The sequence below is a fragment of the Homo sapiens genome, chromosome 17, assembly GCF_000001405.40.
Source record: "Homo sapiens chromosome 17, GRCh38.p14 Primary Assembly".
NCBI lineage: Eukaryota > Metazoa > Chordata > Mammalia > Primates > Hominidae > Homo > Homo sapiens.
This window is the reverse complement of record NC_000017.11, coordinates 15,174,429-15,185,917: the sequence shown is the minus strand read 5'-3', so window position 1 is coordinate 15,185,917 and position 11,489 is coordinate 15,174,429. Positions and strand designations below refer to the sequence as shown.

General features: G+C 42.4%; 1 long non-coding RNA gene across 1 annotated transcript, besides 2 other annotated features; it reads right to left on the bottom strand.

Annotated features, from left to right (window-relative positions):
* Positions 1-4,375: 4,375 nt before the first annotated feature.
* LOC105371547 (uncharacterized) lies at positions 4,376-10,831 on the bottom strand. The gene is made up of 4 exons (XR_934244.3): positions 10,728-10,831; positions 7,521-7,632; positions 6,398-6,468; positions 4,376-4,441 (listed from the first exon to the last, which is right to left on the bottom strand). It is a non-coding gene; the product is annotated as an uncharacterized LOC105371547 (long non-coding RNA).
* Positions 5,152-6,096: an enhancer, noted in NCBI's record as "OCT4-NANOG-H3K27ac hESC enhancer chr17:15083139-15084083 (GRCh37/hg19 assembly coordinates)". NCBI's record gives its function as "activates a minimal SCP1, AML or CMV promoter by ChIP-STARR-seq in naive and primed H9 embryonic stem cells {active_cell/tissue: H9 hESC(naive and primed)}" and the evidence as "EXISTENCE:reporter gene assay evidence [ECO:0000049][PMID:30033119]".
* Positions 5,552-5,846: a silencer, noted in NCBI's record as "tiled region #522; HepG2 Repressive non-DNase unmatched - State 22:ReprW, and K562 Repressive non-DNase unmatched - State 23:Low". NCBI's record gives its function as "represses a minimal TATA promoter and a strong SV40 promoter by Sharpr-MPRA in HepG2 and K562 cells {active_cell/tissue: HepG2 | K562}" and the evidence as "EXISTENCE:reporter gene assay evidence [ECO:0000049][PMID:27701403]".
* Positions 10,832-11,489: the final 658 nt, after the last annotated feature.

Here is an 11,489-nt window from a genome sequence, read left to right as displayed (position 1 = left end):
TTCTTTGACCTTCAAGGAATAGAAAATTCTTGCAATAGTTAATGTGCTCCAGAGCATAGATAAAAATAGCAAGCTTTCCAGCTCATTTTGTTAAGTCAGCTTAACCACGTGTGTCAGTCAGCTTCCCAGCAGGCAACAGATGTCACACTCACATTAGGCAATAACGGTATGGGAAGGGTGTGGAAATGCCAGCTGGGTAGTGCAGTCCTATTACCAACCCAAGGCTTGAAGGGGTAGGGGAAAGTTTCCTTCAGAACCTGGAAGGAAGGCCCGACAGCAGCTGCGATATTTGTTCCTGGGACTCAGACAGCTTCTGTTGACCTTGCAAAGAAGGGGATGGGAGAATAAATGCTCCAGTCTCATTCTCCTTCCACCCTGAAATTTTCTTCCTGAGTTTCTCATTGGTCAAAGCCAACCAGAAGCCACAGGTCAAGGGAGTCACCGATGTGGTTACCAAGCTAAAGAGCTCATTGCCCTATGCACTAGAAGCCAGTGCTATGACACTGGGGTTTTGAGACAAGAAAAGCATTTTATTGTAGGTAGACCAACAAGGAGACAGCAGTCCAGCTCAAATCTGTCTTCCTATGCTGGCTTTATGGCAGTACTTTTATTAGCCAAGGTTTAATGGGTGGATTCTGGGATTAGCAGGTGATTGGTGGAAGGAAAGGGGAGGTCTGGTATGTCATTAGGTACGCACAGTTATCCCTTCATGCCTCCTCATGGGTCACATGTGCAAATTCAGGGGGCGTTAATATGAAACATTCAGTGGAAACTTAGGCTGTGAGGTCAGCAAGCTTGTTCTGCACAGACTCCAGTCAGCCATATTGGTTCCGGCCAATTTCAGCCAGTTTTGTTATCTCATAAGCAAGGAGTTTCAACATTTCAGCAAGTTTTTTTTTTTTTTCTTATCTGCTGTCCTGCAAACTCAAGAATTTCTGTTAATCTTCTGTGTCTTTAACTCTTTGGGACACTAGTTTCAATGTGGTTCACGGCAGTCAGCCTCTTAGGGCAGAAAGGTAGGGGGAGGAGGTCTGCAGGAGTAAACCAGAGTCATATGGCACTCCATGAAACCACAATACCTGAATAAAACTGGAAAAGCATAGCACAAAGTACACGCATGGAGAACAATCTAAGCTGTGAATATAGATCCAAAATTATTGAAACAAAATACTAGCCAACAGAAGTCAGAATTTTATTATAATAATATTAGTAAGTAATGATTTTGTATTAAATGGGATGTGTTTCCAATTCCATTTCATTTTCTTTTTAAAACTAATTGTTATAGGTACATAATAGTTATATATATTTACGGGGTACATAAGATGTTTTGATACAGGCATGCAATAAGTAATCATCACATCAAGGAAATTGGGGTATCCATCACCTCAAACCTTTATCTTGGGTTAGGATCATTCCAATTCCACTCTTTAAGGTATTTGAAAATATAGGATAAATTATCGATAACTACAGTAATCCTATTGTGCTACCAAATTCTAGATTTTATTCATTGTGTCTGTGTTTTTGTACCCATTAACCATCCTGACTTTATCTCCTGCTCCCTGCTACCCTTCCCAACCTCTGCTAACAATCTCTGTTTGGTTTTCCTTAGACCCTTATTTTACCTTCTCTCCCTGATGACATGCTTAACTGGTAAGTGTCAAAGTGGATGCCAGGCCTGCTGGATCTCTTTTGGAACTGGCCTCTCCTCAGGGTGTAAGTTTCCTTTGCTTCTCCATGGAGCATTGCACCTGGGAAGGCCCATAGGCTTCAGGCTGGACCGGTGACCAGAGGAGAAAATGCTTGATCCCCAGGGCAAAGAATTAGCAAGTCCATGTGGTTGTACCTCTAGGCTCTGTCATTCAATCCCACTTTTATCAATAATCAAGCTAATATTTATCTCCATTTGACACTTATGTCTTTTTTTTCTTTTCATTTTGAATTTGGGAGGAGAAGAATGAACAGTGTTAATTTCTTGGCTTTAACCAATAGATACCAATTCCACTTACCTCTAATCCCTCTTTCTCCAGTATAAAAGAAAACCAGATTACTCAATAATACTGTAAAAGCACAGCAAGGAAGGCTTTATTCAGGAACATTGCAATAGAAATAGGGACCACAACAGTGGAATTTTGCAGTGGTGGAGAGAAAGTGGGCTCAACTCCAAATACAGCATGGGCAAGTGGGATTTACAGCCAAGGAGTAGAGTCAGTGGGTAGAAAGTTACTAAGAGGAGGTCGGGCGCGGTGGCTCACGCCTGTAATTCCAGCACTTTGGGAGGCCGAGGTGGGCGGATCATGAGGTCAGGAGATCGAGACCATCCTGGCTAACACGGTGAAACCCCGTCTCTACTAAAAATACAAAAAAATTGGCCGGGCGTGGTGGCAGGCGCCTGTGGTCCCAGCTACTCAGGAGGCTGAGGCAGGAGAATGGCGTGGACCTGGGAGGTGGAGCTTGCAGTGAGCTGAGATCGGGCCACTGCACTCCAGAGCAAGACTCCGTCTCAGAAAAAAAAAAAAGAAAGAAAGTTACTAATAGGAACATCAGGGGGAAGGGGGATTCTGGACAAACTAAACTAAGAGCATTTTTGCTCAACACAGACCAAGGTGACCTGATATCACCTAGGTGTTAGTGGAGGATGAGGAATCTGATCAGATATTGAGGGTGATCAGATATTGAGGATGAGGGCTTCTTGTTAAACTGACTTAGCAGAGTTCTTTGCCATGACTGAATCTTACATGGAAGTACACAGATGGCCCTCGAAGAAGGTTCAGGAGCCTGACTAAAGTTTGGCCAAGCCAAAAATCTTTGTCACCAGCTACTGCCACTATCGTCACCCCTAAACAGCCACGTAGCCATTGGGAGGCTCTATAAATATTGCCTCTGGCTAGGGAAAAATCAGCGAGAACAAAAACTTGCTCCAATGATTTTTGAGCTCTGAAGCAGAGCTTTATAAATCTATAACCAAAATTTAAAAAGGTATGGCTATTCTGCAAGAGATAAAAAAGCTTCACTATTTCAGAAACTTGGCTTTAAGTGGAGGAATCAGATATGAAGTTTATACCATCTACCAGAGCATAGGAAGAATTTGGGATGAAATAAGAATCTTTGATAAAGTAAGAAGGATATAAACTTTCTGGTATAAGATAAATAACTTCTGGAACTCTAACTAACAGCATGACAACAATAGCCCAGAATTTCAAGTATTACAGACTTCAAATTTACAGAGTTATCTTAAGTGTTTTTAACACACACACACAGAGACACACACACACACAGACACACACATACACACACAGTAACTATGTAAGGCTATGGATGTGTAAATTACCTTGATTGTGGTAGCCATTTTACAATGTATACGTATTTCATCACGTGCCACACCATAAATATATACAATTTCTATTTGTCAATTATACCTCAATAATATTGGGAGGAAAAGATTCTTTCCCTTGCCCAGAACAAGGGAAGATACCAACTCTAGGCAAAAAAGGAAGAATGAGAGGTTACTTGAGGTTGGAGGTGATGTTAGGAGAATGGAAATTCTTATAGAATCTTCAGAGAACCTGAAGGAGGGTCTGGAGTGGATGGAGTCATTTTCTGGCTTCCTAGGGTATGGCCTTGGAAAGTACAAGCCTCAAAGAGAAGGTGAAAGCCCCCAAACCAAACCAAACCAAAACAAAACTTGTGGATGTTCAGTTCTGTCACCGAACTAACCTGGGGTCCGCTCACCCGGCACAATAAAGCAGAACTTTCACACCAAGGTTCTCTGCAGCGGGAGGAAGACTCTGATTCCTGACTGGTTAAGGAAGTGAAGCTTTGTCTAAAAACTTGGGGTTAGCAGGAAGGAATGTTAAGGTCTGGCCTGGGGATGTGACTTGCTCCAGGCCTCTGAGGAAGGAATTTAGAACAAAGAATGGTCATCAGAATTCAGTCCTCAGCTCTTTATCTCAGGTGGATGTGCCAGGGGAACCTTTGGTCGGGGTCAGGGCTTCTGGAAAACAATTCACGGATATATGTTAAGATGTTATCTTTAGTTTCTATAGGGAATCAAACATACCATCACTCAAGGCTCTCACTTACTTGGCTATTGTTGTAGACCACTGTTACTTTCTTGCTTATCAAGTTGTTCATTTACTTCTTAGGGCTAGTTAGGTACCTGGAATTTCTTTGGAAGGAACTCAAGATTTTCCTTTATGCTTAGGGGGCCCCGTAGGCCCCTAAGAGGGGTCCCTGCTCCATCTTGGAAACTCTAAGCCTCAAACAGAAGCTCTGAATTCAAAAACCAAACAAAAACAAAACTTGTGGCTGTCCAGTGACGCTGGCTGTGTCTGGTGAGTAGTACGTGGGTGTCAGGGTGGCCTTTCAGATTCTTGGGCTCGTTGGAGGAAAGCTGCCCAGAATTTTCAGCTCCACCCTCCGTCAATGGTAGAACGCCAACAGTCTGGAAGAATGAGTGTTTTGTGGAACACTTTAGGATTTGCTGCTGTGCTTGGTTCCTGGATCTCATGGAAGGACTCGAATTTGTGCAAAGGGGCACACCTGGCTATCTGTATGCCTGTGAATGTCGGTTGGGCAAGGTCTGATCAACAGTCTAGAGATATTCTCAGCTGCTTGCACTGTTTCCTTTGTGGGGCTTGGGTGGGTTGCATGGACATCTGCCAGAGGCTAGAGCTTCTTGTTTTTCCCTATAACCTGTCTGTATTTCTCAGAGGCCTGTGCAGTCTCAGGGTGCTTCACAGCGCTGTGATGCAAGAAATACATGTCCTCAGCAGGTCCTAAAGAGCCTGAAACAACCAGATGAAGACAGCAAAGGGGTGGAAAACAAGAATAAGGACACACAGGCCGGACGTGGTGGCTCACGCCTGTAATCCCAGCACTTTGGGAGGCCGAGGTGGGCGGATCACGAGGTCAGGAGATTGAGACCATCCTGGCTAACGGTGAAACCCCGTCTCTACTAAAAAAAAAAAAAAAATAGAAAAAAAATTAGCCGGGCGTGGTGGCGGGCGCCTGTAGTCCCAGCTACTTCGGAGGCTGAGGCAGGAAATGGCATGAACCCGGTAGGTGGAGCTTGCCGTGAGCCGAGATTGCGCCACTGCACTGCAGCCTGGGTGACAGAGCGAGACTCTGTCTCAAAAAAAAAAAAAAAAAAAAAAAAAAAGAATAAGGACACACAAAATACTAAGGCTTTCAAAGCGCGTTCTCACAGTGGCACAGAACTGGAGTTATTTAGAGATGAGAAAAGTGGCATTACCGAGAGATTAAAAATGTACCAGGAAGAAAACCAAGCTGTGAAGTGGCAGAAAGAGTATTTAAACCCAGGTTTTATGCTTCTAGGCTGGCCCCATCCTCCCTCCATCTCTCTGGGCTGCAGTGATGGCTCCAGTCATGAATGTCAATGAACTTTTAATGAGGTCTTAATCAAGTGCTTCATTACTTGGACTCTCGGGGAGCAGAGCAATGGCCCTCGGGAGACAAAAGCCAGCATTCAAGCCAAAAGGGCTTGGGAGACCTTACAGGTTCTGCTCCCTTTCAAGGACATGGCTGTCCGCCTTTTCACCCCTTTACTCCCACTGCCCTGAAGACCTCGACGCAAACAAAGGGAAACCGTCAGATCTACTTTGCATTAGCTCTGGACTGCCCTTGGCCTCAGTGCTAATGAAGTAACTTAACAAATTCCCTCTGAAAAGTTGCATTTCATTTGCATATGTTTAGTTGCTCGCAATGTCCCTACTTCCTGAGGCTGATGTGACCCTTGTAAAACCACAGGAAGCCACGTTTTTCTTCTCTTTCTTCCTTCCCTCTCCTTCCCATCCCAGCTAGCTTGTCTTGCTTGCTTAGGCCAATCTAACAACAAAGTTTAGCCCCTGGCAGATTTTCCACACAACCGAAAGGCAAAGATTCATATGCCTTCATTTAGAGCCAATCACTGAGCTAGAAAATCCCAGCTTGACCTCATTTTTTTTTTTTTTTTTTTTTACTGTATTTTCTCCCTCAAAGACCAGAATGTGGACATGCTCACAAATTGATAATGCAGCCGCTAGATTAAGGGACGTTCTCAATCAGCTCTTGGTTTTCAATCGGTTTACTCAAATAATGTGGACCTGTCATAAGCATTAAGTCTGTATACCGAGATCATACTCGAGCAAAAGTATTACAGAAGTTAGGACAATTATGCAGTCATTCTTATCAGATGCCTGGAACACAGGACTCTGAAAACAGGAAGCTCTAAAAATTCAAATATTGATTCTGAGTTCATAATGCTCAAACAGAATGAATTAGGCAACCTACTATTACACTCCTTGGGGATTTTGCTAGGAATAACGTGCTAAAAACATGATGTCTGTAAGAGAACGGCCATTGTAGGTAACATGAGTGGAATTAAGAACATTCTACTTACCCAGAGGGTAGTGAGAAACAGTTTGTAGTTTTAAAAAATGGCTCCAACGCATTCCCTTTCCTGTTTCATCTCTAGTCACATGAAACACACAGTTCAGCGTCAGCAAGGAAATGACAGAGAGAGATTAGAGCCTTATAAGCCCACTCTAGGTGTATAGATTACAGCCTTGGGAGCCCACTCTAGGTGTATAGATTACAGCCTTACAAGCCCACTCTAGGTGTATAGATTACCGCCTTGTGAGCCCACTCTAGGTGTATTTGTCTCCTCTATATTTCCTTTCTTCTGCCTTCTTCCCCAGCTTGCCTTCTGCCTCAAACCCAGGAGGAGAGGAAGCAAAGGAAAAGTAGAGTGCAGCATATAGCTGCATGGAACTATATGTTAATAAACACTAAGTGGTTGTTTTTTTGGTTTATTTGTTTGGAGATAGGGTCTTACTCTGTCACCCAGGCTGGAGTGCTGTGGCACAATCTCGGCTTACTGCCACCTCTGCTTCCCAGGCTCAAGTGATCCTCTCACCTCAGCCTCCAAAGTAACTGGGACTACAGGCTCGTGCCACCACACCTGGCTAATTTTTTTGTATTTTTGATAGAGACAGAGTTTTGCCATGTTTCCCAGGCTGGTCTTGAACTCCTGAACTCAAGCGATTGGCCCACCTTGGCTTCCCAAAATGCTGGGATTATAGGCATGAGCCACCACACCCGGCCACACTAGGTGTTTTGTTTCTATCATGCCTTTCTGTCTCTTGGTTCTTCTCAGCCACATGATTGTGAATGGGAGAGTTTCAGAGCAGTTCCAGAAATGGGAAGAAGTTAGACACTTAGTGAAGAAAAAGATCTGACAAAAATACTTTGTTTAAATTATATAGTGTAGGGGAGGAAAGTAATTTTCTTTCTACCATGCTAAGGTCATTAGCTCAGGCCCCTATAATAAAAGACAGTTTGCTAAGAGAAAAGCATACACATTATTTAATATAAATTTTATATCACTCAGGTGCCTTCAAAAGTAATTGAAAACTCAAAGAAACAGTTGAACCTGAGCATTTTTTTATAGTGGGTTTGATGAAGAGTGGAAAGTTGTGGACAAAGGGGAGTGAGCTAAGTGTAATAAACAGGCAGGAACTTACCAAGACCTGCTTGTGCAGATTCTCTCTGTTTTCGTGTCTTCAGAGAGAAGGACGCTCCTGTCCTCCAGGTATAGGGAGGGCACCTCTCACATGAGGGTCTTGTGACCTGCTTCTGGGGAGAGTCAGAAAATCCTTTGGAGGTTTTATGACCTACTTCAGGGGAGAAAGGCTGCGTGAGGGTCACAGTGACCTTCCTACTTGTGCAGTTTTCTTGAGTTCCTTTATCTGAAAATATTCAAGATGTCAAGGTGCCATATTTTGCGGGTAGTGTGTCCTGAATTCTCCAAAATAAGAAGATGTAAAATGTATGTCAATAAACTTACCTTATTATTTGATTGAAAGTTAAGATTCATTGGTATGAACATGTGTTGCACTATGCAAATAACTGATGTAACTTTCAACCTGGGGACCAGAACACTGCTGCACTAGATCAGCTTGGCTCAAGAGAGCCAATTGCATGCATCTCTTCCCAACTCTGAGTTCTGTGTCTGCATGTTGGTAATCGGAAATCAGCCATGATATGGGGAGTATTTACACCAAGGAGATCAGTAAATGCTACAAATCAGGGCTTCCCCGCCTCCCTCAAAAGGGCTGAGTTGCTGGTTTTGACAGGCATTATTATTCTTGCTTCTGCCACCAAACCAGTTGTACCAATCTCCCCATTTTTATTTCTTTTACTCCTTTTCTGTGTTCAGGGAGAAGCACAGTGATTTTTCATTTACTGAGTATCCAGTCTGTGCAGAACTGTGCGGGATCCTATGGAGAATTCCAGAAGACACGGACAGTGCTGTCAACCACTGCCAGTCAATTAACTGTAGTCTGAGGCAGAGTTAAATGAGTCTGATAGAGAACTGCCTGTCAAATATTGTGAAGGCTTGATCCCCAAGAAAGGGGTGGCATGTGAGTTGTTCTTTGAAGAACAGTGTTGGATTTCAATTAGCAGACAAACTGGAGTGTGATAGGGAGAGGGAGGAAGGGCATTTGAACAGGGGAACAGCAAGAACAAATGGGTGAGTTTATGAAATGAAAGTGCTGGAGTGTTCCTGGAAGGGTGTAGAGTCATCTGTGGCTAAAATAAAGAGCTTGTAATTCATAAAGGGCAATGGTGAGGGCAGATTTTTCAGAATTTTAGTAGTTTTCACTTTTTATGGTGATTAAATTACCGCTTTCTCATCTATATAGCTGTTTCTTTTTCTTTTTCTTTTTTTTTTTTTTTTTGAGATGGAGTCTTGCTCTTGTCATCTAGGCTGGAGTACAATGGCACAATCTCGGCTCACTGCAACCTCTGCCTCCTGGGTTCAAGGGATTCTCCTGCCTCAGCCTTCTGAGTAGCTGAGACTATAGGCAAATGCCATCACACTGGGCTAATTTTTTTTTTTTTTTTTTTGGTATTTTTAGTAGAGACGGTGTTTCACCATGTTGGTTAGGCTGGTCTTGAACTCCTGACCTCAGGTGATCTACACACCTCGGACTCCCAATATATAGCTATTTCTTAAGTAACAAAGTGTTAATTTTGTGATGAACCTATGTGCCAGTTACCAAGTTTTCCAGCACAGAACACTCCTACAATTCGGTTTAATTTTATGAAACTCATTAGCTCAACATAAGCTATGAAAAAGCAAACAATTAAGCCTTTCATTGCTTATAAACAATGCTTGCAAGAAGAATCTTTTGTGTATTTTATATTTGATGGTATTAAAAAACCATATCCATAATGACTATTTCTACCAGTAAGATTCTGGACCAAAGGGTATGTGCATTTTAAACACAGATTGAAACAGCTGCATTTCCCTCTGGAAGTTGTGCAGGTATACGTGTGAGAGTACTTCTTTTATCACAATCTAATTCACATGGCGTATTAGCAAAATTTTAAAATGCCAATGTGAATGCTGAAAATTGTATGTAGTTGTATTTTCAATTCACTGATTAAGAATGAGTTAGCTCATTTTAAGATCATTCATGGCCACTGTATTTCTTCTTTTCTGTAAGCTGCTGTGTCCCATGCTCATTATTCCATTTGCTTGTTCACCTTGTTATATTGATTTGTATAAATGCTTTGCAAATGAAGGGAATTACCATCTGCCCCTCCTGTGTATTGGTCTTGTTTTTGTTCAGTTTGTTGTTTACTTTTGATTTTGTTTATAATTTCATTTTCCGATAATACGAATATTTAAAGACTTTTCTGTGTTCACATTTATTCATCTTTTTCTTTATGGGTCTGAACTTTGTGATCTGCTAGAAATAACATGAAGATTAGAAATCATTTCTTTCCTGATTTGTTATAGAAAACTGATGGCTTTATTACTTTAAAACTATTTAAATGTCCTTTTAAAAAATTTATAATAGATATTCATTTTCACAACAAGTTTGTGACAGGTTCATTCATTTAATTTGCATGTATTTTAAAACTTAGCTATAGAAACAGAGAGATGGAGAAAACACATCCTTGTCCTCAAAGAGCTCTCATTCTTGTGAGGAGGCATATAGCTAATTATAACTACATATATTGTATAATTATACATTTTCCAGTTATATATAACTACATTATATAATTCATTTATGAGAAAACTAGGGAGATCCCTCTATGTCAATACATTATACATTATACACACACACACATGATAGAATTCATTCATCAAAAAAAAAACACACACACACGATAGAATTCATTCATCATAAAAAGAAAAAAACAATCAAAACTCGGGAGCCCTTTCATGGGGGAGTGTGGGGGAGAAATGGATGATAATCTGTTTTAAAAGAAACATTCTGTCTAAGGAGTTTTTAAGTAGTTTAGGACCTGGGAAGAAGTCCAGGGACTGGAGTCGGTTCAGGAGCAGATGGGCTGCGGGCCTGTGGGGACTTGGGGGTAGGGGCTGAGCTGCCAATTAGGCGATTCCCTGGGGGTCTGGGCTGCCCCTTTTCCTGTTCAGGTGGATTTGAAAACCTCATTTCTTTTTCACAGAAGAAACTGCTCATTGAGGTAGCGAGATTGCTGACAAGTGTGAGGCGAGCAACCTCATGGAATTATAAAGAATCCCAGGAGAGTTATCCTTAAGCGGAGACACAGCTAAGAGATTTTGAACCCAGAAGCACTAGCCAAAAGCTCCAGAGCTGTAGACAAATAGATAACCTTTTCCTCGGTCTGGAAAACTTTAGTATTTCTCAAAGAAGTGGCTACAACATCCAGCAACCCCACAACCTGCATACCTGTAACGCCTTCATCTCACTAGGTGAATGTCCACGGCCCCATTTTAAAGAAGAAACTGGGCTGGGCGCGGTGGTTCACGCCTGTAATCCTAGCACTTTGGGAGGCCCAGGCAGGCGGATCACAAGGTCAGGAGATCGAGACCATCCTGGCTAACATGGTGAAACCCCGTCTCTACTAAAAATACAAAAAAAAAAAAATTAGCCAGGCGTGGTGGCGGGCGCCTGTAGTCGCAGCTACTCAAGAGGCTGAGGCAGGAGAATGGCGTGAACCTGGGAGGTGGAGCTTGCAGTGAGCCGAGATCGCACCACTGCACTCCAGCCGGGGCGAGAGAGCGAGACTCTGTCTCAAAAAAAAAAAAGAAAGAGAGAGAGAGAGAAAGAAATAAAGAAAGGAAGGAAAGAAAGAAAGGAAGGAAAGAAAGAAAGAAGAAACTGAGAGTCAGAGAAATTAGATAACTTACCCAACGTAAAATCTCAGTGAAACCAAGACAACAATTGGCAATTGATGCGCTTCATGATTCCCAGCATCTGGGTTTCTGGGATTTTGCTGTGGATGAGTATCCGGTTTAAATATGAAATCCACATACTCTAAGCTCTGTTCCCTCCCCTTGGTTCTGGGCTGATGTTCTTGGCTTCAGCCCTGTGGGCTTAGAACTGAACTCTTCTTTTTATGGAACATTACCTGTTGATGGTGGAGTTGGTTCTACCGATGGCTAAGATTTTAACATTTCTGTTTTGGAAAGCTCCTTCTCAGGTCTCCCT